General features: G+C 36.0%; 1 protein-coding gene across 31 annotated transcripts in view, besides 1 other annotated feature; it reads left to right on the top strand.

Annotated features, from left to right (window-relative positions):
- Positions 22,911-26,215, top strand: part of DTNA (dystrobrevin alpha) — a 398,533-nt gene continuing 395,228 nt past the window's right edge. For 29 of the 31 annotated variants that reach the window (XM_047437323.1, XM_047437332.1, XM_047437326.1 and 26 more), the window contains exon 1: positions 22,911-23,113. The gene's annotated coding sequence lies outside the window, so the exon portion shown is untranslated. Of the gene's footprint in view, positions 23,114-23,327; positions 23,621-26,215 lie in introns of those variants that run through there. The other 2 variants (XM_047437327.1, XM_047437330.1) reach the window with 1 other exon arrangement.
- Positions 23,435-23,564: a silencer, noted in NCBI's record as "silent region_9393". NCBI's record gives its function as "represses an Ori minimal core promoter by ATAC-STARR-seq in GM12878 lymphoblastoid cells {active_cell/tissue: GM12878}" and the evidence as "EXISTENCE:reporter gene assay evidence [ECO:0000049][PMID:35858748]".

Raw genomic sequence — 26,215 nt, forward strand, 5'->3', positions numbered from 1 at the left:
GTTCATGTCTTTTGCCCACTTTTTAATTGGTTATTTGGTTTTTGCTCGTTGATTTGTTTAAAGTCCTTACAGATTCTGGATATTAAACATTTTCAGATACCTAGTTTGCAAATATTATATCCCATTCTGTAGGTTGTCTGTTTACTCTGTTGACAGTTTCTTTGCTGGGCAGAAGCTCTTTAGTTTAATTAGGTCACACTTGTCAATTTTTGTTTTCATTGCAATTACTTTTGGGGACTTAGCCAAAAATTATTTGGCAAGACTGATGTTGAGAAGAATATTTCTTAGGTTTTTTTCTGGGCTTTTTATTCTTTCAGGTCTTACATTTAAATCTTTAATCCATCTTGAGCTAATTTTTGTACATGCTGAAAGGTAAGGGTCCAGTTTCATTCTCCATATGGCTAGCCATTATGCCAGAACCATTTATTTTATAAGCAGTCCTTTCCCCATTGCTTGTATTTGTCGGCCTTGTTGAAGATCAAATAGTTGTAGGTGTGTGGCTTCATTTCTAAATTTTCTATTCTGTTCCATTGGTCTATGTGTCTGTTTTTGTACCAGTACCATGCTGTTTTGGTTACTGTAGCCTGTAGTATAGTTTGAAGTAGGATAGTGTGATATCTTTGACTTTATTCTTTTTGCTTGGGATTGCTTTGGCTATTTAGGCTATTTTTTGGTTTCATATGAATTTTTGAACAGTTTTTTTTTCTAATTCTGTCAAGAATGACATTGGTAGTTTAAAAGGTATAGCATTAAATCAGTAAAGTGCTTTAAGTAGTATGACCATTTTAATTATATTGATTCTTCCAAACCATGAGCATGGAATGTTTTTTCCATTTATTTCTGTTGTCTCTGATTTCTTTCAGCAATATTTTGTAGTTCTCCTTTAGAGATCTTTTACCACCTTGGTTAGCTGTATTCCTGGATATTTCATTTTCTTTGTGGCTATTGTAAATGGGGTTGTGTTCTTGATTTGACTCAGCCTAGATGTTATTGGTGTATAGAAATGTTACTGATTTGTTTACATAGATTTTGTATCCTGAAAAATTGCTAAAATCATTAATCAGTTCTAGTAGCCTTTTGGTAGAGTCTTTAGGGTTTTGTAAACATAGAATCATATTGTCAGTGAAGAGACATAGTTTGACTTCTTTACTTTCTAGCACAATAAGAAGTTCCAGGCTCATCTCATGTATTTCCACCTCCAGTCCTAGAATCAGCCATTTCTCCAAGGATTCCTGGATCCTTTTATTGGAGAATGGTATTAAAAATGAAGATCTGAGTGCTAGATATGTTCATTGTAACTCGGGTGCCATTAATTCTAGTCCCCGTCAGCTGACAGAGCAGGGAAATACATGGTTGTATACTAACCCATGTATACATACATATCTATAAATATTTATATATGTAAGCATCTGTATTAGTTTCTTGTTGCTTCTGTAACACACTGCCAAAAATCTAAATGCCAAAAATGTATTATCTTTCTAGTTCTGGAGGCTCGAATTCTAAAATGAGTTAGCTTGGCTGTCATCCTTCCATATGCTCTAGGGCAGAATTGTTTCCTTGACATTTTATGTTATAGAGGCTGTAAGTTCCTTGGCACATGTTCTTGGCTCATGGCTCCACATTGCGCTTACCTCTGATTCCATTGTCACACCTCTTTCTCTGGCTCTGACTCTCCTGTATCCCTCTTATAAGAACTCATGTGATTACATTGGGTTTGCCTGAATAATCTGGGATAATGTTCTCAACTCAAAATTCTTAATCACATTTGCAAAATCCCTTTTTCACATAAAATAATGTATTCACAGTCTATTAGGATTAGGATGTGGATTTCTTTGAAATACCATTATTAAGCCTACAGTGGGCTAAATTATGCCCCTGCAAAACTCACATGCCTACGCCCTAACCCCCGATACCTCAGCATTTGACTATATTTGGAGATAGGGCCTTAAATGAGGTCAATTAGGGTGGTCCCTAATACAATCTGATTAGTGTCCTTATAAGAGGAAGAGATACTAAAGGTTCATGCACACAGAGAGAAAGACCATGTGAGGACATAGCAAGAAGGCAGCCACCTGCAAGCCAAGGAATGGGGCCTCAGAAGACACCAAACGGGCAGAAACTGTGATCTTGAACTCTAGCCTCCAGAACCATTAGAAAATTAATTTCTAATATTTAAGCCACTCAGTCTGTGGCATCTTATTATGGCAGCCCTAGCAAATGAATACACCTACAATACCATATGTATCTATATTAAGCTAAGCATCAGTTCATACTGATTTCTCACACTCTAATCTGTTACCCCTGTCTCATTCTAGCCTCCTCTGCTTACTCATCTACCATCTCACGTTCCAAAAGTGGGACATGTGGCTCCCAACATCCACCATCCATTTACATAACTGTTTAATTCCAATATATATGTGTGGTGGTATCAGAATTATTAACCCATACCTCTGTGGGAACAATTTTATCCACTAGAATACAATGTTTAGTACAGTTTTGCCAATAATCTTACAGACTCCACACATTTTCAAAGCTACTTATCTCAGCACATTTTGCCCTTACCTCCTACAATTAGATTGAGATTGTTTTGTCACATTCTGTATTCCATCCCTTAACTTTTTAAATTACTTTTTAATGTACATACATTAAGCATTACTTTATAGCTGTAAGGCCCTATAGATTTTGACAAATGCACAGTGTCATATACTTATTATTTCAATATTATACAGAATAGATTCAGCACCCTGAAAAATTCCCTGTGCTTTACCTTTTCAACATTCCCTCCCCACCTCAAAAAAAATCCTAGCAAATATTGATCTTTGTATGGTTTCCATTGTTTTGCTTTATTTCATGTCACATAATAAAATCATACATTATGTGGACTTTTTATGCTGATGTTTTTCGCTTAGTAATATGCATTTAAGATTTATTCATGTCTTTTCATGGCTTCATAGCTCATTTCTTTTTATTACTAAATAATATTACATTGTATGGATGTACATCGTTTATCCATTGGCTTATTGAATGACATCTTGGCTTTTTACAATTTGGAGTAATTATGTTTCTTTAAGCATTCAAATGCAGGTTTTTACATGGACATAAATTTCAACTAGTTTTATTATTGTTGTAATGCTAGCTTCACAGAATAAATTAGGAAGTGTTCCCTCTAGTTCTATTTTCTGAAAGATACTGTAAAGAATTGGTATTATTTCCTCTTTAAATGTTCAGTAAAACTCACCCATAACACCATCTGAGCCTGGTGCTTTCTTTTTCTGAAAAGTTACTAATTATTGATTTAATTTCTTCAGGAAATATAGGCCTATTTAGATTATCTAATTTTCTTTGCATGAGTTTTTATAGTTTGTATCTTCAATGAATTGGTCCATTTTATTTTAGTTATTAAAGTTTTAGGTATATGTCTCTGTGCTGTGACCATAAGTGCATCTCTAATATCATAACATTTTTTCACCCTTAGGTAAGATGCCAAGGCTCAAGAGAGCTGAAGTAAGAGCAGTGTGCTTACCCCAGCTGAGATAACGCTCTGCTATAAGATATAGTCTTCCTTGGAGAGTAGACCTTTGTTATGGAGAATGCTCTGGGCTTTTTGCACAATGATTACCCTACTCCTCCTCCTTCCAGAGCCATAAGGAGATGTTTCTTAGCTCTTCATCATGAAAATTTGGAGGAGTTCCTGAAAGTAATACCCACAAAAGTTTGGGGCCCCCCAAAATGCATCCCCAAGAATTTCTTACCCTCATACTAGTCCACATTCAGCTTCCAACAATTCATCAAAATTATCATTTAAATCTTCCCATAACCTCAGTTTTTTCAACTTTTGTTTCATTTTTAATTGACAAATAATAATTGTATATATTCATGGGTACAGTGTGATGTTTTGGTATATGTTTACATTGTGGAATGATTAAGTAAAGCTAATTAACATATTCATCACTTCACATGCTTATCAATTTTTTGTGGGAATATTTAAAATCTAGTCTTTAAGCAATTTTGAAATCTAAAGTACATTATTATTAACTACGGTCACCATTCTGTGCAATAAATCACTAAAGCTTATTCCTCCTGTCTAGCTAAAATTTTGTACCCTTTTACCATTGTCTTCCTTTTCCCTATCCATCTGCCTCCCATAGCACCATTCTACTCTTTCCTTCTATGAGTTCTACTTTTTGGATTCCACATATAAGTGAGATCACATGTTATTCATCTTTCTGTGTCTGGCTTATTTCGCCTAGCATAATGTCCATGTTGTCCCAAATGACAGAATTTCCTTCCTTTTAAAAAGTGATAGTATTCCATTGTCTATATGCCACATTTTCTTTATCCATTCATCCGCTTATGGACACTTAGCTCCAACCTCAGTTTTTTGATGGATCCAAAGAAAGTCATTAATGTTCAATGTATTCAGCAAGAATAAACAGGAATAGTGAGTTCCAAGCTCTTTACATGTTGGTTCTAAAACAGGAATAATAAGCAAGAAGTTTATTCTTTTTTATTGCTGAGTAGCATTCCATTATGTAAATATACCAATTTTTTTATTCATTATCCTTCTGATGGATTTTTGGATTGCTTCAAGTTTTTGGCCATTATGCATAAAGCTGCTGTGAACCTTCTTTTAACTGGCTTTTCGTGGACATAAACAATCATTAATTTTATAATTCCAGACTCAGACTAAACCACAGATCACAACAAGTTACCTGTATATAGTAAAATATCTTTACAGCAAAAGAATCACACACAACATAACCAGCTTTATAACTCACTAGGCACTGGGGTACTGGATATTCTCTGCAGAAAACAGATTTGAATAGAACATCTAACTTACTGTTGATAGACTTCTTTCCGAGAATCATCAATTATTATGGCACAGTCGATGTACTCAGGTACACATAGAAGTAACTTCCTTTATTTTCCTAAAAAATATATTTTTGTTGAGCCAACAATTGACTTGGTGACAGCATATGCAAGCTTAATCTTTTCTAAGTAAACCCAATTGATTGAGGATTTCACTCAGCCAATAAAAATTTCATATTCTTACTTGTTCTCTTCCCCTTCCTCTTCCCTCTCCCTGTGATTTCTCTCCCTGATTCTAAGCTCTGGGGTATAGAGAGTGCCATTATGTTGGAGAAGAGGTGACATCTTGATCTTCCCTGTCTGGAACTTGCTGAAAAAAAATTCTCTAGAGGACTCTTTATCTCATAGGTGTTCACTCTTTTTTGAGAATTTGTATACTATTTTATTATATTGATACTTTGTCAACTGAAAATATTATTTTCATAAGTTATAACAAGTTATCAAATATCTGCAATTATTTTGTGTGTAAAACTTAAACTGCAGTACAAATGTTGTCTGCAAATCATATCCTTTTTAACCTTAGGTTATATCAAATAATCAGGAATATCTGCAGCTGAATCACTTTACGGTAGTGCCACCTGACTAAGAAAATATTCTATAAACAATACAATCATCTGTAGTAGGTTATTTCAAGGTGAACATAGCATATGTTTTAATTCTTACTTTTAAGAATGTTAATCTATAATGGGTACAAAAATACACTTAGAAGGAATAAGTTCTAGTGTTCAATAGCACAGTAGGGTAACTGTAGATAGCAATAATTATTTTTTTTAAATAGCTGGAAGAGAAGAATTGTAATGTCCCCAACACAAAGAAAAGGTAAATGTTTGAAATGATAAATAACCCAATTACCCTGATGTATCATTACACATTGTATGCATGTATCAAAATATCACATGTACCCCATAAAGATGTACAATTATTATGTATCTATAAAAACATACATTTTTCAATAATAAATGTTTAATGGGTCCCCAGAATGAAGAAGAATATCAACTTGTATGTGGCAAGTTCTATTTATCCTTAGTATAAAGGAGAATAATTCTCCTCTATCACTATCATTTCTTATAAAAAGCTATTTTTACCAAATTTTAGTTGACCTACTTTTTACAGTCATCTAATTTGTCCGCAACCCCCTCAACACACACACACACACACACACACACACACACACACACACACACAAATAAGGCTTGAGAGATTTTAACATGATACTTAAAGCCCAGCTTCTGAACTTTTACTGGAACTGATCATGATATCAGCAAGACAAAGTGAACATTTCTTTATTGGAACCAGGAAAATCTTAAGAGTCAATGAAGTCAGTTCAGAACTTGTTGCTAGCCAGTCCATAGAACATCTAGGAAATTGAGCTTCATTTGGATTTTCTTGAGATAGATTATGATAGTCAAATTGAGCAGATTTTTGGTCTTTAGAAAATTTTAACTTGATGTAAACTTATATAATATGGTAGATGTGAAATGAATCACATAATTTTTTAAATAACTGAGTTTTGTAATTATTAGTGTAATTCTCATTAGATATTAGTAAATATAAACCTACATTTTTCTGATTTTTAGTTTCTTCAATGTTAAAATGGTACAAGAGGTAAGAAGTTGAACTAAATTAACTCTAAAGATTCTTCCCAGTCAAAAATTTTGTACTTTTCACTTTCCACTTAAATTTACTTCTACCAGAACACAGGAGAAGGGAATGCCTATAAGGCTAAGAAAATGGCAAAAGATATAAGGGACACAGAGTACATTACATGTTTGGGAGATAGAATCAAGCAATTGGATTACAGCAGAGGGTTTATGTTGAGATTAGTACAAAGTACAGCTTGAAAGGTAGTTTGGAGCAGAATTATAAATAGCCTTGAACAGTAGGCTAAAAATTTTGTGTATCATTCTACAGATAATGGAAAACTGTTTCAGGAGTTCAAGTTAAAGTGAGCACAATAATGGTTTAAAAGGAATGATCTAGTGTTAACAATTACAAATGAATTAAAAGTGAGATAGGCTGGAAGAAGAAAAATCAATAGAGGGGATGTTTGTAAAATAGGTGTGAGCTAATCATAGCTTCAGCAAGGTGATGTCATAGAATAGCAAGAATTCATAGACTAACAAAATCTGGAAAAAAGAATCAGTGAAACTGGCTGATATATCAAGCTAATGAGAAGAAAGTCAGACAATTCCAATTTTATGTTGGGAGAATTACATTTTTACTTTGTTCAACATGGAAAGCTCTTAGAGAAAATAGAAAATATGAGTTCAGTTTTAGAGGCTTTCAATTTGAAGCATAAATAGACATAAGAAAGGAAATATGCTGTTTGCAGCGAAAAATGCAAGCCTAGGTGAGAGGTCAGAGTTGTATCCATTTTAATTTTAAGTAAAACTTCACTTAAAAAAACAGACAGATAAAATAGTAAGGTTTCAATTTGAACATCGCATTGAAAAACTGAAGAGATCTAGTCATTTATATTACTTACCATGTTTTTAATTTATCCTCAGACATATTAGTTATCTTCTCAATTTAATCATGTCTCTTTTATTCATGTGCTTTGCTGGAATATTGCAAGCAATATCTTCTGATTTGGCAGAGCTTAGCTCTGTAAACTGAATGTTTATTATCAAAGAATAATTTTTACCATTTAATTAAGTGTTCCCAATTAATACCTTGAACAGAAATGAGTAGTGCTAGTTTTCTTAGCAAAAGAGGTCTCTGAATATATTGTGCCTACTAATGCTAACGTAACGGGTTCAAAGCAGTGGGAAAATAATTCTGTTTTATGGAACTGATTGATTAAGTCCCAATCAAAGCAGTTAATTTAATATATTTGGGGTAGCACCACAGTATGATCTTCTTCCAAATCAATATAATTTCTTTTTGCATGTTAAAGAGCCTCAGAACATGTAAGTGGTCAAGTCCTGTAATTAAACTAGCCCCAGTCTCCTTATTTGAGCAATGAGAAATTGGAATGACAGCTAAGTTCCCTTTCAGTGAGCACATTTTATTATATATAAACACTACATCATTGAAAAAAACAAAAAGATCTTATTATTGAATATTTCAGGTGTACTAAAAATGTGTCAAAATTAAAAATTCCAAGAAATTCTAAAATCATGGAGTGTCCTCACTAATATCACCTGGAATTTATTTTATTAAGTTGGTACCAAAGTAATTGCAGTTTTTGCCATTGAAAGTAATGGTAAAAACCACAAAAACTTTTGTGCCAACCTAATACACAAAGTTTTCTACCTAGCAAATGTAAAGATTTCCAGGTTTGCATTAACTACCTTTTCAAAAGGGAGGAAATAACAGCAAATATCCTAAGCCCCATCTCAGTTGACATAGCAAACAAGTCTGTAGTATAATCTAGCAAGCTGAAGTGTGGTCTTCAGATCAGCAGTACAGGCATCACCTGGGATCTTGTTAGAAATGCAGACCCAGATTCTATTCCAAACTTGCTGAATCGGAATCTGCATTTTAACCAGATTTCCAGGTGATTCTTATGCACATTAAAGTTTGAGAGACAGTGATATATAATCCCACTAAATCTACATCCCGAAAATAGGGAAATTCATACCATCTATCTGTAGCAATCCCATCTGCCTTATTTGACTTCAGTTAATTAAATTTTATGATACCACCCACTCTAATGTCACACACTTAGTGAATGAAAATATGTAAATCTGAAGAGGTCCTTCATGAAGGAAATAGCTTGAATTAGACTTCGCTTAAGAATGATGCAGACCATTTATGAAGACCTGCTCTACTCTAGCCAAGAAATTAGCGCCTGGAGAAATTTAGCTTAAAATCTTAATCGAGGTCCTTTATTATTTGTACCTTCATTCACCAGGGCAAAAGCAAAGCGAATCCAGAAAACTAAACAGAAGATCCATATGTTCTTATTCATTTTACAATAAATGTTCCACTCTTATCTGCTCTACAGTTTGCTTTAAGTAATATACAAATGACAATTTCCACCTAAGCTTCATTAAGCTTTATTAACATAGAGGGTTACATCTATACTTGAAAACTAGCAAACTGAGCTGTTTGGAAAGGGTACTTGTTTGATTTGTTATGAATAGTAGAAGGATGAGGTGATAAAGACATAAACTAACATTTCTTGAGCATCTACCCTATGCTAAGTGCTACAGTAGCCGTCTGATATAAAGAGAGTCTCTAAACTGTTAAATTTGAGATCTGCTCTCTAATCATATAAATATGGCATTATTGTGATCTGTTAAAACTGTACAAACACTGATTCTTAATCATTTGATGACACAAAAATCTGTGTTTAAAACTTTGCTTTATTATTGAATAGTAACATGTCAAGCCCTTCCCATCTCCCCAGTTAGGCATTATTCAGAAATATCTAAAAGTAGGACTGAAGTGGTCTTGTTATTATAATTTCCAAATAAAATGTCTATTTTAGCTCTTAAACAACCATAGAGATCTTATGTGGACCCCTGTGATGATACTGTTTACCTGATTGCAGTCCCTGGAAGTATCTTTTGGGACTGTAATTAAAACCATTTTGCTACCTGTTTTACCATAATGGAAGACATCATTTAGTCATGCAATGTTTCACCCTTTCATTCCATGCATATCTATTGATTGCTTCCTATTTGTCACAAAATTTTAACAAAACAGTCTGAAAATAAGTACACAGACATAGTTAGAACTATAAATAGTTATAAATTTGTGAAAAGTGCTATGAAGTAAAAAAGCATGAGACCATTATAAAAAATGATCAGGAGAAAGAGTTCCTCTTCTGATGTGGACAAGAAAGATCCAGCAAGAATAATCCTTCTGAAGACAACTATAGACTCTGGACAAAAATATAGGCAGTCCGCATGTTACCTAAAACCATGTTAAAAGTCGTGCATATGAGAACTATGTCATTGCTTTATATAGTTCTATAGTATCAGCTAATGTGCAAAGAGAAGATGCAGTTACAAAATTCACAGGTTTCCATTGATGCAGTACTGTGCATAGCAAGGACTGTGCGTAGCAAGGACTGCCTTTATAACAAAACAATCATCTGAAAGCACCATAGAGTGAACAAAAGCGAATGGATATCAGGGGTGGTCAACACTTTAAAATGGAATAACACAGAGTATTTTACCTTTTTTATAGCTCTTAAGCTAAAAGAATGCTGCAGAAGGCACCATGCAGAGTGGATACAATTCCTATAGAAAATCCGCAGATTTTCTGACTCAAAGAAACAAAGGATAGAGTTCAAAGATACCACAGCTTGTGAAAAGTAAAGGAATAATCCCAGAAAGGAGAGACAAAGAAAAGAAACCCCAAGTTTTCTTTACAAGCTCTGCGGAACCCTAAACCACACACCCATGAGGCAGACCACAGAAGCTAATTAAGAATGAAATAACTATACTGAGATTTGAGCTGCTGCAAAACAGATTGTTTGCAGTTTGACTGCAACCAAGTTTATTACCTGCTAATACAATCAAATGAAAAAATCAACACTCTTTGGAAGAATTTAAAATAGGTTATTTCCAAAATTATATACACAGTGTTCAGGTAAAATCCCAAATTACTCAAAAAAACAAAAACAAAAAAAATGTGACCCATCCTCAAGAAAAAAAAACGCAGAAACCAACTCCAAGACAATCAAGGCATTGGCATGAGCAGACAAAAATTCTGAAAAAGCTATTGTAATTATGCTCAATGACATCAGGAGGCTGAGGCAGGAGAATCGCTTGAGCCTGGGAGGCGGAGGTTGAGGTTGCAGTGAGCCGAGATCGCACCACTGCACTACAGCCTTGGCGACAGAGTGACACTCCATCTCAAAAAAAAAAAAAAAAAAAAAAAAAAAAATGCTCAATGACATAAAAGAAAATATTCTCAGAGTAAAAAATGGAAATCTCAAAAAAGAAGTAAAAAATACCAAAAATAACTAAAATTAAATACTAGTATTTAAAAATAAAATATATGAAATAAAAAATCACAGCACAGGCTCAAAAGCAGAATGGAGATGACAATCAAATGAGACAGTAAACTTGAAGATAGATAACTATAAAGAATGCAGTCTGCATCTGGCATGGTGGCTCAAACCTATAATCCCAATGCTTTGGGAGGCCAAGAGGGGTGGATGGCTTGAGTCGATCAGCCTGTGAAAAATGGTGAAATCCCATTTCTACAAAAAAAAAAACTACAAAAATTAACTGGGCATAGTGGTGCATGACTGTATTCCCAGATACTCTGGAAGCTGAGGTGGGAGAAGCACTTAAGCCCAGGAGGTCAAGGCTGCATTGAGCTGTGATCATGTCACTGCACTTCAGCCTCTACAACAGAGCAAAACCCTGTCTCAGGAAAAAAAAAAAAATAATAATAATAATCTGAGAATAGATTGAAAAAATTAACAGGGCCTCAGGTTCCTATGGAACAATACCAAATGGTTTAATATATTGTAATTAAAGTTTATTATGACAAGAGTAAGAAAATGGGGCAGAAATAATATTCTAATACATAGTGGATGACTATATCCGAAATTTGGTAAAACATATATTTACCAAATTGTAGGTTATAGAATTTCATCAGGATAAAAGGAAATGATACTAGACAAAAGCTCAGATATTTAAAAAGAGATAAGAGCATTAGAAATAGCAAACATCATTGTGGGGTTCCATGGTGTAATGGTAAGCACTCTGGACTCTGAATTCAGAAATAGCAAACATCTGGGTAAATATAAAACACTATTGATCCGTCTTAATTTTTTTAAAATGCATATTACTGTTTAAAAAAAAAATTACAACATTATGGGATGCTATTGTTTGCATGTGTTTTGTCCATGCCAAAACTCATGTTGAAATTTGGTCCCCAATATGGCAGTGTTGGGAGGTGGTGCCTAGTGGGAGGTGTTTGGGTCATGGGGTGGATTCTTCATGAATCGCTTGGTGCTGTTCTCCAGGTAGCAAGTATGTTCTCACTCTTGAGAGACTGGATTAATTCTCACAGGAATGAATTAGTTCCCCTGAGAATGGATTTGTATAAAGGGAGGTTCCTACTAATGTTTGGTCCCTCTTTATAGGAGTCTGTTTTTCTATGACCTTCCACCATATTTTGACACAGTGTAAAAGCCCTCACCAGAAGCTAAGTAGAAGCCAGTGCCATGTCCTTGAACTTCCCAGCCTGCAGAATCATGAGCTAAAGAAACCACTTTTCTTTATAAATTACCCAGCCTCAGGTATTCCATTATAACAACAAAAATTGGACTAAAGCATGGGGCCTATACCATAAATAGAAAAAATATATACAAAAGTTTTATCATCAAGGTTAAGGTGGGGGGATACATTGACCTATATGTTTGAAAGATTTATATACTTTACACAAAGTGGTACAATAGAAACTCTAAATAGATTGTAAAAAGGTAAGAATGTATGTTGTAATTCCTATAGCAACCATTAAACAATAATTCAAAGAGCTATGCTAAAAGCCAATATATTTAAGATTCTAAAAATATCCTATGACTCACAACAAAGACAGAAAAGGAGGACAAAGGAGACAAGTTGAAATTAAATAACAATATAGGAAACCTAAATCCAACCATATTAAGAATTACATTAACTGTTAATTAACTTAACATCCCATTTAAAGTATAGTGATTTTCAGAAGACATTAAAAAGCAAGATCCAAATATATGCCAAAAGTTGTTTGTTTCTTTGACAGTATCAACAAAATGGATTAACCTCAAGCAAGACTGTTCAAGACAAATAAGACACACACAGAGAGAGAGAGAGAGAGAGAGAAAATCAGGAGAGAACACAGAAAAGATTAAGGCCATTTGATAGTGAAAAGGGAGTCCATTTTATAAGAGATTGTAAGAATCCTACATGTTTATGCACCTAATAAAAAGCTTCAAAATGCATTAAGTAAAAACCGATAGAAATAAGAAGAGACTGCCACAAATCCACTATTGTAATAGGCAGCTTCTGACATGGCTCCCAATGATTCCATCTCCTAGTGTTCATGCACTTGTGTTTGTGCTGAATCTCATGACTTGCTTCTAATCAATGGAATATCGTAAAAGTGATAGGATGTGACATTTGCGATTAGGATACAAGGTCTTGCTAGAACTCCCTATCTCCCTGGAACTCTCACTTCTTCTTTCAGTTCCTCACATTTTTGAAACCATTGCCAGATTGTGAGATGCTCATGTGAAAAGAACCAACTGTGCAACAGCTCTTAAAACCTGAGGCCTCGGCCCAACAACCCAAGAGAAACTGAGTCCTGCCAAGAAGCACATGTATGAACCAGGAAGTGAGTCCTTCCCATCAAGCCTTGAGAAGACTGAAGACTTGTGAGAGATCCAGAGCCAGAGAACCCAGCTAAGCACATCCAGAATCTTGACCTGCAGAAATTCTGAAATAATAAATAGGTGCTTTATGTCACTACATTTTGTGGTAATCTGCTAGGTAGCAATAGATAACTACCATAGCCATTACAGGTTAAAAGTTCCAACACCCCTTTTTCAATAATTGATAGAATAAATAGATAGAAAATTCAGGATGTATTACAGAAGACTCTAAAAATATTACCACCAACTTTCCCTAAATGTAATTTATACACTTCATTCAATAACAAAAGAAAATATTTTCTTTTCAAGTGAACACAGATTATTCATTAGAATAGATCATATTCTGGCCCATAAAATAGTCCTCAATAAATTAAACAGGATTGAAATCATTCAGAGTAGGTTCTCTGTCCACAATGGAAAGGGAAATCAATAGGCGAATAATGTCTGGAAACAACCACCCAATATACAGAAATTTAAATCACATTTCTAAATAAAATTGATCAAAAAAAGGTCACTGGAAAAATCAGGAAAAAATAAACTGAATATAAGTGAGAAACAGCAAATCAAAATATGAGGGACGCAGCTAAAGCAGTGCTTAGAGAGAAAATTATCACATTAAACTCTAATATTAGAAAAGAGGAAAGCACTCAAATCAATTATCTAAATTTCCATCATAAGAAACAAGTAAAAGGAGAGTAAATTAAACCTCAAGTAAGCAGAAGGTAGGCATAAAGAGTGAAACCAATAAAAAAAAGAAAACAGATAAACAAAAAAGACAGTCAAGAAAAACCAAAAGCTGAGTTTTTGAATAGGTAAATGAAATTAATAACCTCTATAAGACTTACCAAGTATTTACCAAAGAAAGGTAAAAATATAGATCCAAAAAGATAAAACTGATCATGTATTTACCCGAGATAAAAATAGAAACTCTCAAAAATACTCACACAAAAATATTTGTAGCAGTTTTACTCATAAGTGTCAAATCCTGTAAACAACTCAAATGTCTATCAACATGGGAATGTTTGATCCAATTGTGATATATTTACACAATGGATTAAAATTAAGCAAAGAAAAATAAAAGAAACCAACTATTGATACACACAATGACATTGATGAATCTCACAGACATGATGCTGTGCTAAGACAGACGCAAAAGCATACAATATTGTATAATTTCTTTTACACAAAATTCTAGAACAGTCCAATCAAATCTATAATGGCAGATATCGAACAGTCATTACCTCTGGGTGGAGGAGGTAAGCAAGGATTTACCAGGAAAGGGCACGGGGAATTTTCTTGGTGATATCAGTGTCTGCATATTGATCGGTATTGGTTACATTTCTCAAAAAGTCAAACTGTGCACTGAAGATCAGAAAGAGCTAGGGAGGAAGGGAAAGGGAGGCAGAAAGTGAGGAAAGTGGGAGGGAAACAGGAGAAATAGAGAGAAACAGAGAGCGAGCGAGCGAGAGAGAGACTATAAAAGGACAAAAAAAAAAGAAAAACAAAAAACTGTCCAGGTCTTAGGGGAAAAATTTAACCTGGATCAGGGATAAAAGCATAGAAGAATAATAAAACATCAACTTTGAGAAAAATTCAGAAGTAAACACTAAGATAAAAAGAAACAGCCTTTAGAGAATGGATAGGAGCTTCCAGGAATGAGCAATCTAAGTTATTTACTGTATTTCTAAGCACGTGTAATTGTGTTTGTGTAATGTCCACTTTGTAAAGTATCACACTGGCTTTAAGGATGTACGTATGCTGCAGTCGAAGCCAAGTTAAGATTTTTAAAACCTCTATGCACAGATAATACAGTATTCTGACTTACTTAGGCACATAATGTAATTTTAAATTAAAATTGTAATAATGATATACTATAATATGGATGGATTTATCTTCTTTCTAGAATATGCTTCAAAATAATATGGATAGAGGGATGAATGGGTATGTGGAAAGTTCGGCCATGCATTAGTAATTGCTGCACCTCAATAATGGGTACTGTTATATATGTTTTAATTCTCAGTAACGGAAAGCTAAAAAGAAAAGGCCAGGCTTGGTGACTCCTGCCTGTAATCCTAGCACTTCGGGAGGCTGAGGTGGGTGGATCACCTGAGGTCAGGAGTTCGAGACCAGCCTGGTCAACATGGTGAAACTCCGCCCCTACTAAAAGTACAAAAATTAGCCAGGCATGGTGGCAGGCGCCTGTAATCCCAGCTACTCGGGAGGCTGAGGCAGGAGAATAGCTTGAACCCCAGAGGAGGAGGTTGCAGTGAACCGATATTGCGCCGTTGCACTCCATCCTGGGCGACAAGCATGAAACTCCATCTCAAAAAAAAAAAAAAAAAAAAAGCAAGCTTAAAAAAAATGTAGTGACCATAAAATCAGTGTGCTAATTCCAGAGAAGTTTTCATTTACTTTTCATAAATGACTTTGAAGTTTAAAAAGAATCTTTTAAGTATTTTAGTGCCCCTGTCGCTAATGTTAAAAGCCCATGCATAGTCCACCTACTGGATTATCCTGTTCTGGTTAGACTGAGGATTGCTGGTTTTGCTTGTTTTGTATCAGGAAAATTTCATAGGTTAAAGGTGCCCCAGGGGGGCAGTAAAAATAAAAGTGAAGGATGAGCCAAATCCTTCATCACTGCCCAGTAAGGATCATCCCGACTAACAGGAAAGTGACTGGAAAGGTGTTCATGTCAGATGGGGTGGAGGTAGCAGTGGAGCAGGTCCTAGCGTATTTTTTTTTTCTATCCAGGATGTGAAAAATACTATAATTTGGATTTTTATTTTAGAAACAAAAACTCAGGTGGTAAATTTGAATTTCCTGAAGACTAGATATTGTAGATAGCAACTCTTTGATATGACCTATTGTTAAACAAATGTGCTTATTATATATTGGGCATTCAATAAATATTTTTGGTTTTTGAAATATTTGTTCATTTTCTTTGAACAAATATAAACCATTTTGTAGTATGATTGACAAATAATTGAAAAAGTAAATCAGCTTAAAATTTTAAATTATCAAAATTTTGTAAGAACGAAGAAAAAATGGCAAAGAGAGAAAATCCTTTGCATTTAATTAACTCCAGATGCATTTGTAGAAGTTTCTTAATATAAGAAATAAAATTACATTACCCAGAATGAATGGTAACTACAGTAATCCTGTCTGGTTAAGGTAGGAACTTAAAAGAACACACGTACAAATAAACAACTAATTGATTTTGGTTTAATTTTTATTTATTCACTTATGTATAAATACAGATACAAAACTTGTTATCAATTTTATGACATTATTATAAACAACTTTAATGCTGTACTAGGAATATATTTAAATATTTGGAAACTCATAGAGATTAATAATAAATAGAGAAGAAATTACTCTTTCCAATTTTGGGGCAGTGTCATGTCAAAATAGCAGTCTATTTTCAGTTAATCAACAAAGCTATCAGCAAGTATTTGTAGAATAACTGCAAGATGCTGTGAAATGTACAGTTGATATATTGGATTAGAAGTTTACAATCTTGATGTCTAATACACATGAAATGGTTAGACAACAATACGGCACATTATATGAATAGGTTTTAAGATAGTGTTTCCATGAGTAAGTCTTTGATACGAGCTCAAAGAAAATGAATAACACCAGGCTGAAGGATGCACTTTGAATGATGGTAAGAAAATGAGAGGGAATATTTATTATGGAATACTTTATGTACCATAATCCTTAAAGTATTCACTCCACTTCTACTATAAAATAAGTAAATTGTTTTTATTTTCTTTGAAATAAAAAACAAAAGATCGTAAACTATCCACTATTTCTTTTATATATATCCTAGCATAGGTTCTTGCTCTGTCACCCAGACTGGAGTGCAGTGGTGCGATCATAGCTCACTGTAACTTTGAACTCCTGAGTTCAAGTGATCCCTGGCCTCGGCTTCCCAGGCAGCCAATACTACAGGCATGCAACACCATGACTGGCTATATAAAATATTTTTTAAATGCTCACAGTCTTTTACCGTAATCGTTTAAGACACAGATATAAATGAGGGAAGTTACAATTCTTTTCCTTCATTAAATTACTGTCATTACAGTATGAAGTAGACGGCTGTGGTATTGATCACACAATTTAAATGAAAACCTTTCCATATACATAATTCTGCCATCCAAAATTTTTTTGATGTGTTTTAAACATACAAACCAAAAGGTACCCCAATGGCAAAAGCAAACCAAACAAGGTATCCAGTTCATCTTGTTCATATAAAACATAAAAACATGATCTGTCAAAGGAATTCACAAGCTCAAAAAATTATTTCCATATGCTGTGTAATGCCAGAAGTAATTTTTAAAAATATTTCTATCATCCTAATCTTATAAACATTTTCCAAGAACCTTCTACATGATATAAACATGCTTGATTCTCTAGGGAAGAAAAAAGTAATAGAATGTTTTTCATTATAAGCACTGTCCTTGAGAATCTTAAAATGCTTCTTGAGATATGTGCAAATGAAAATAGCAACAATTTCAATATCAGGAAATGTTCAGATATGTCTACTGAGCAGCAAAGACAATGCTGACCACAGACTAAGAACTGGGTACAAATTAAAGCTTTTGGTTTTTGGTTATGATAAAACATGTAAAATCCCTGCTATCCCTGTTTCTTTCAGACTACCTGATTGACATAAAAAAGGGGGAAGTTAAAGCAATATGTAAATGAGAAAGCACTGAAACAAGGTGGAATGTTCAAGCTGATCTGGTGATGCAGGTCAGGGACAAAAAGGAGGAAAGATCAAGATAATCTTGTGTGATATTTGTGGCACATATAAAATACAAGCATCTTGATTAACAAAGAAAATTTGCATATTATTAGAAAAATCATTACACATATAAATACACTTTGAACTATCTCAAAATGTATCCCCTAAAGGCTAAAATATTCTATTTCCCAACAATAAGTTTTAATTATGGATCTACCCACATATTTACTACACAATTTTAAAGATGACAAATTGGTTAGTTTAGCTTCATCCTCCCTCCTTTATTTTTCATTTAGTTTTTCATAACACATAAGGCTTCTCAACATCAAATAAATTATATGGTATTTGCTGTAGCAATTAACTTTCAAATTAAAATGTGTGCTTGTTAACATAGTTCCTGATGGTCTACAAGAGATTTGGGCTGTATCTACCTGATATGTAAAGAATCATTTCAGCAGGAAAAAATTAAATCAGTCAAGCTGATTTTTCATAAATAAAATTGTTTTGACTAAGCTTTTCACTTTGTAACAGTTTCTTTGGTATTTTTTAAAAACATTAGGTTTTCTTCAGAAAACATCAAAGAAAATTTTGACATTTTCCTGAAATAAGTAGACAGCTATTCAGATAATTAATGTGCAATAAGTAGTAGGGGTTTTCTGGTCTTTAATTATTTGGATAAGTCATCTATGTTGAACAGATTTATTTGCCAGTATTTGCCATTGATATTTCTGATTTATTCAGTACAATCCATGGTTACATGTATCAAGATATTCTGTATTCTTGGGCAGACACACACACACACACACACACACACACACACACACACACATTCAGCCAAAAAGCAATTTAAAGTAGAGTTAAAAACAGTTTTAGCAGTAAAGTGAGTAGATTATAAGCACCTTCTCAAAAGCTATTCTCCAGGTGGCTTTTTCCTGCTGTGGCTTCACCGTGACAGTGCATTAAAGTTTCATCTAAAACATTTGTATTTTGTTTATGGTCCATTGAGAAAATAAATTCTCCCAGGAGTAAAGGGCATGCTGGTATGATGCCATTGAGAGATGTGAATCACCATAATATGTATTTAATGAATTGCCATTATAAGGTGGACTTACAGCCATTTAGAATGTCAACAGATTTGTTCATTCTAACACTAAGAAACAAAATACACTTGACCGCTTACACCAGTTCTGAAGCTAGGTTCTCTCCTTCAGTTTGAGAAGACCGTGGAGAATGGAAACAACATTTCTTCTGAGGTTGTCAGCCAGACAGGAAGATCGACAAAGGAGACATCACAACAGAGCACCATAATAGGCACTGCCAGGGACTGCCGAGCTCGGAGGCCCTGCTCATATGCAGGGGGCTTCAGTCTAGCTAAGGAGACAGAGCATAGGTGGGATGAAAGGAAGACTACCTCGGCTCTCTTAGACTTAGCAATTACCCCCTAACAGCTGACAGGGCCATGTCTTAATGCTGAGTTTCATAGGCGAATACATATTAAACTTATATAAATATACATCTTGAAGTGATGCAGAAGGAGACTGAATAGACAGACACCCTTGGTGTTTTTTAATATGAACACATACTCACATCCCCTCAGGTTTCATGAATACTTAGGACACCATTTACACATTTCAGGGGAGGTCAGAACATGATATCTGTTTTACACTGCTGATGAGTTCCACAATGCGGGTATTCGGAAAAGCGAGAGAACAGCAAGGGGTTGCTGACTATCCCTGGGAGCCCAAAGGCAGTCAGGGCTTCTGCAGGAAGAAGGAGACATTGGGGGAAAAATGGAGGGAGACAAAATTCATCTACTTCATAATTCTGCCTAGGGCCCACCTTAGCCTCAAAATTTGGTAGTGCTCATAAGAAAAAAACTAACCATGAATTCCCCACGCCACAGCTCAGTTGATCTATTTTCTTGACCCGTGTGGGACTGCTAACATACTTCTCATTCTTGAAAGCTAACCAGTCGGTTGGGGAAGCAAAATTTATGTATATTTTGTGTTTTTCAAGACCCCATTCTTCCCTGAAACAGTCTACATCCAAGGGGTAAGAGCTTCTAATTGATAAAATAGCAGTGTCTTTATTTTTTCAACTCTTTTGAATCATTTAAATACTCCAAAATTGTTAATTCCTCATGCCCCCAAACTATTATCAGTTTATAGATAATAGTAACCATCCCCATTTGACCCAAAGCACATGTATACTCTATATATCATTACATATTAAACCATAGGTACACACATAGAGTTTTACTATTAACATAATATAGTGAACATTCTGATTTTACCCATGGCCATTCTCATATCAATTATAATTTTAAAAAGCAAGAAATTGTAAGAGCAAAACAATAAACATCAGGAATGTATTTTCGTTGATAATGATAGCTTAAATTAGTACAAACCATAAATGTTTGTGCATAACCACATTAAAAATATTTTTCCCCAAATGAAGGAATTCTGACACAAACTGCTAGTAATTGTTGAGCCACCGAAGTTGTAATGCACTTCTGAAACACATGTAATAATCATCAAACCTAAATATATCTCTAATTAAAACAAATCCTGCTATGAGTATGCTGATCAAAAGGAAAGTGCTCTTGATATATTGCTGTTCAATTTAGCCCTCCACCTCTTTTGCAGAAATCTCCCAGGAATGCTGCAAAGCCATTAGAGTCTGCTGCATACTAAAGCTTCTAGTTTAACTCCAAAAGCATGTGTAAAATCCTGGATTATAAATCACTGTTACAATCTACGCCCAGAAATCCATCTAGACTTATTGTTTAGGAGAAGTATTGGAAGACGATATACTAAGTAACATTTAGAGTTGACTGATCAGAAAATATAATAGTTTCAAAACAATGAATGAAAATTTTGAGTACTTCTCCATTCAACATGTATTACAAAAAATTAGGGACAATTATCACTCTTTAAAAATGAAGTCCATAAAGGGGACTACTTCTGATTATTATTAGACTCCATAAAAATGTATGAAAAGATCTGGAAAAATCTGAAAGTGCTTTAAAATATATTATTAATATTATTTTGCTTTAAATATTGCAAACTTATCTCTTCATTGCCTACTTTATTATACCAGTGCCTTTGCTTTCCCATCTATCTCCCTTAATTTCAGTGTTAATTTCTTCTTAAAAATTTATATACCATGGCTATTTGATCCCATTGTCATTTTTATTATTACACTATACTAATAGGTCTACATATTTCTTTTAGCGGATCCTATACTTTTTAAAAACTTGAGATCTTTCAGCACATCCTCTGCAGAACCAACACCTGGTGTCATTGCCACCAAATTCCTGTAAGTTTGTTTAGGAAAAAAAAATTCAATAAGAAAGTCTACAATTTCCTGAATTTGTTTTCCATGCACCAAAATTTGGAAAATTTTAGCTTTCACACGAAAGTTGATCCTCTTTTTCTTCTCCTTTTGTTTCCTTCTCTTCTTTCTTATCTTGTAACTTAATTCCCCCTCCTTTTCCCCCCTCTTGACTGCTTTCTCTTCTGCCTTTTCTCTGACCATTCTCTCTTTCATACTATTTGTTTTCTTTTTGGGTTATTAGAAGGCTAGTTAGCTGCTGGAGTTCCTTATCTACACTGAACAGAAGCTACCCAAGAGTGTTCCTTCTGGGAAATTTTACGACATAAAACAATCCCCATTTACTGTTTATGTGAGTATGGTGCCAGTGTAAGAGAAGGGCAAGGTTAGACATAATTACCTTGGCCATTTAGAAGGTAGGAGGGTTAATGACAGATTGAAATATAGGGCACATAGGCAAATGAGATGATTTGAACATGGAACAGAAATTAAGTAAAAAGAAAATAAGTGTATTTTGTACTTTCTTTGTGATAACTCACACCACCAAAATAATAAAGGTTTTTATCTGCAGTCATTCAGTATATGTATCTTGTTTCAACAACTAGATGTAAACTAAAGACAGATACTTATATTAAACTTCTTTCTATCCTTCAAAATGTAGCGTAGCTCTTCACATACACCAGGTGAAAGGGGTTTGAATGACATATACAAATTATGAAATTGGTGACTACTTCAGAAACATTGGCTAAAATTGCTTGAAATTACTATCTAAGGATTTAAACAATGCAATTGGATATAAATGTATGCATATACATGCCACATTCCTCCAAAAAGAAAGAAAATTATATGAAAACGTGAAATTGGAAATATAATACAAGAGAAAATTATATGAAAACATACATATAGTAAGATAAAATAATTTTCAATCTTGGTAACTTAAAAATAATCAACAATGTTTTCATTATTTTCAGTAAACTAAGTATCTGGGAATTGATCATAGTGAAAAAGCAACCTGTGAGTAGCTATGCAATTAATATTTATAGTGAGATACTGACTTATTATGTGTACTTGGATAGGTCATGTTATCTTACTTATGCTTCTGTGTCTCTGAAGTGACAATACTATTTGCCTTTTCATCCACCTCCTCTGCAAAGATGCTCTGCAAATAAATGAGGTAATGTTTGGGGAATGTTTGCAGCTTGGGAAAGAAACCCACTGCATACATCTAAGAATATTCCATATTCAAGCCTTGTATATTTTGCCTCTGTTTTAAATTGAAATTGTACTGTTTAAGTTCTTGGGTTCTGACCAAAATCTGGGTCAACATAAGAGAATAATTATTTTTAATTTTAAACCTGATTCTCTGTTCCAATCTCCTGCACGTGTGAGGGAAAACTGTAGGAAATAAACAAAGCACATAAATCAAGCTTTGGAAGAGAAAAATCTCTATCTGAAGGATTTTTTTTTTTTTCAATGACGAGCGTGCCCACTATTTCCCTAGAGGAATATTTCGGTCCAGGAAGGAAGATAGTGCATTCAGCATGAGTGTGTGTGTGAGTGTGTGTGTGTGTGCTGTGCGTGCGCGCCCGCGGAGAGAGGGGCGGGGGAGGCGGATGAGGAGGATGAGATCATAGTTTCAGGATCCTCAGGAAACCCTGGTACTGGCAGCAGCCAGCCTCTGCTGTGCCCACATGACCCACAACTCTGGCAGCGGACCCGGCACTTCCAACATTATTAAATAATAAGAAAGCGGCTCCTACTCCAGGCTCAAACCTCCCTGCAGACCAATGGACACCTTCTAAGAGTTTGGCGAGTCAGTGACTGAAGCGCCCGTCCATTCCAAGGTGTGTGCACGGCGTTTTCTTCTTTGACAGCTCCGGAGTGGGGGAGGGCGCGGGGGTGGAGGGGGTCCGTGTGCCGGGCGAGGAGTGGGCGCGAGGCCGGGCTGCCGCGCTGCCCCCGGCCGCCCGGTGCAGAGGAGCCCGCCGCGGGGCGGGAGGTGCACATGACGCGCAGCCCCGGCTGCGCAGGGACCGCAGCCGCCCACGGCGCCGGGGCGCGGACACAGGCGGCTCGGCGCTGGAGCAAGGGCAGGCGCCGCGCACCGAGCAAAGTCAAGAGTGGAAGCGGGCGGAGAGCGCCGGCGGGGGCAGGGATTCGCCTCAACGCCCACTCACGGGGTTCCCACCTGTGCGCCGGCGCCGGCCGCGGCTAGCGCGAAGCATGTGCCGGGCGCCGCAGCCAGGACTGCGGCGCGGCGCCTCCCCGGGCGGCGGGCGGCGCCTCAGGCCCGCGGGGCGGCGGTAGCGGCTGCTGCAGGATGTCCGGCCCGGGGGCGCGGGGCCGCGCAGGTAAATCTCCCCCGCCCTCGAAGGCCTTCGCAGCGCCGCAGCCCCTGCTGCTGCCGCGGCGCCGCTCGGGGGGTGGCTATGGCAGCCGGCTCCTTCGCGTCGCGGGTTGAGTTGTTTTCGTTGTGGTCGCTGCCCTCTTGGTCATCCTCTCGGGCTGAGCTGGTGGGAGGTGGAGTGTCTACCTCCATTAGGGATGATACTCACGTCGGGGAACAGTCTGAGGGGTACTGACTGGGACATCCGCGTTGGGTTCCTTTGCAGCCAGCGGCGTCCTTTCGTGTTGCAGTGCACTGCGGTGCCCGGGCCGATGCCTGGGTGGGAGTGGGCTCCGGGCCCCGGGGACGGGGGGCGGCGGGGGCGGGTGGGCACGGGGGTGAGTGTCTTCGGCTTTTATAGCCTGTTGCCCACTTCGAAGTTTTCTGCTGGACAGAGGGCAGGCGGGAGGTTCGTTCTGGTATCCGGAGTGGGAGTTGAAGAGAGGTGTCTGTCAAAAGACCAAAGCCAAAGAGAGAAGAGGGGTGGCGACGGCGAGGCTGGGACTCAGTGGTACCACTCCTGGGACTTGAAGGTAAAACTTTGCTGTTTAGTAGGCTTGGGGTATGGCTTTGGAAAGATAACTGTAGAACTTGGCCGTGAGGGGCGCAGGGGGAGGGGGCAGGGGAGGCGCAAATATTGGATGTGCCTTGCAGTGAAGCTTACCATGCTTTACATTTATTCTTATTCTAAAAAAATTGTCTTTTGAGTTGATGCTTATGTTTTCCTGTTATATGTCATCACTTGGCATTTAATGTGTTTGTATTTCCTTTTGAACCTCAGAGATACTTGTATTGTTGAAGTGTACAGTTACTGATTTCTTTAAAAAATAATGGTTTTTTTTTTCTTTTGCTTATTCCAAAGGTGGAAACTTTAGGAAAAAAGTGTTCCACATGTTCCACGGTTCTATATGGCTTAGATTTATTCACTGTCTTAATTCTTAGACCACCAAGGGAGTAGGTAATGTTATTAAACAACTTTTGCAGGTGAGAAAATCCGGGCACAGAGAGATAAAATAACTTACCCAAGGTCATACATTTATTAAGTGTTAGGAGTCTAGTTGGGCTTTTCATGCGCCCCTAATCAACTCATTATACCTAAAGTCTTCTATACTGACCACATCTTTCTATGAAGATGAACCTTAATAGGTATGTGCTGCATGTTCAGAACAATTAACTCTTTTTCTACTTTTTCTTCTTCTAACTTTCAATACTAAAATTATGGCAAATAACGTTTGAGTAGTTTCCTTTCAGCACAATTAACCAAGTGTCCTACAGTAATTAAAGTTGCATGTCCTACAATGATTAAAGTTGCATTTCACCATAAAGTTGAGATTTTCAGCCGTTAAGATGTATCAGCAAAGTAAATTATTATAAAGCAAATGGCTAAAGCTATATGTTTGTTTGCACTTAATTTTAAATTTCATAGGTTATTAGTCTGTTCTTTGTTCAGATCATGACCATCGTTTTCTTCAGAACACCATCTTCCAGATTTTTGAGGAAGTTTAGTTATATTTAACCCACTCACTCTGGCGAGAGTTGGGCGGTTTTAAAAGAAGAATTGTGCAATTCTCTTTCAACTATCAGTGATTAAAAGCAAGCTGTATTTTAAGGGCATTCGAGTCTGTCATGTCATTTAGCCAATTGTATGTACTTTATACAGAATTGTGTAGCGGTGAAGACTGAAATCAAATTTTCTCATTAGTTCTAAGTTGAAATACTTTTAAAATCTCCACTTGTTTTAAATGAACCGTGATGTGAAGAAAGGTCTCAATGGGGTGAGCTCCAACTTACTTAGAGAATTACTCTCACATATTTAGAGAATTACTCTTCATTTGAGCTTATCATAGAGCTTTCACAATATTCATTTTATTGGGCAGATGTCTCTTAATTCTTCATCTGTTATTTTTTTCAAGTAAATTTTAATTGCTTCTTCACATAACGAGTTTCAAAATTATTTTGACATTCATAGATTTCCTTTAATTCTCATCTTTCACTTTAATTAAATTCAATATGTATAATTTCAAACTCACACTTACTCAACATTATAAGTAAAAAGAGAGTGGAATCCAACTAAACGGCACGGAAACATGATCTGTGGATATGAGAAAAAATATTTGGCTCTTCAGTGGTTAACCATCCCCTCCCTGCAACACACACACACACACACACACACACACACACACACACACCAGAATTATGGCTACATCTTTATTTTGGGATGCTACAGTGCAGTCCTGTGGTCAGAGTGGTTGTATGCTATCAGTCACAAATGTTTTTGATATTGAACTTGAATTTGATTTTTCCAAGTCCATTTATATATAGTGTTGATTGTTATCAAGACATAAATCCTGTGATACATACATATATCCTTTCTTAACTCAGTGTTCCAGTTTTCTAGCGTCTGTTACTTATTTTAGAGACAGCTTGCTACTTTTATCTCACTTGGTAGTTTTGACATGACCTTTTCCTTTCAAGTCCCACACCTCTAGTTTGAAAGAATTGTACTGCTTCTGCTTCTACAGAGCCTCTTTTTTCCAGGTGTGGGGTGCAGGAGTGGGGC

Source organism: Homo sapiens, chromosome 18 (genome assembly GCF_000001405.40).
Source record: "Homo sapiens chromosome 18, GRCh38.p14 Primary Assembly".
NCBI lineage: Eukaryota > Metazoa > Chordata > Mammalia > Primates > Hominidae > Homo > Homo sapiens.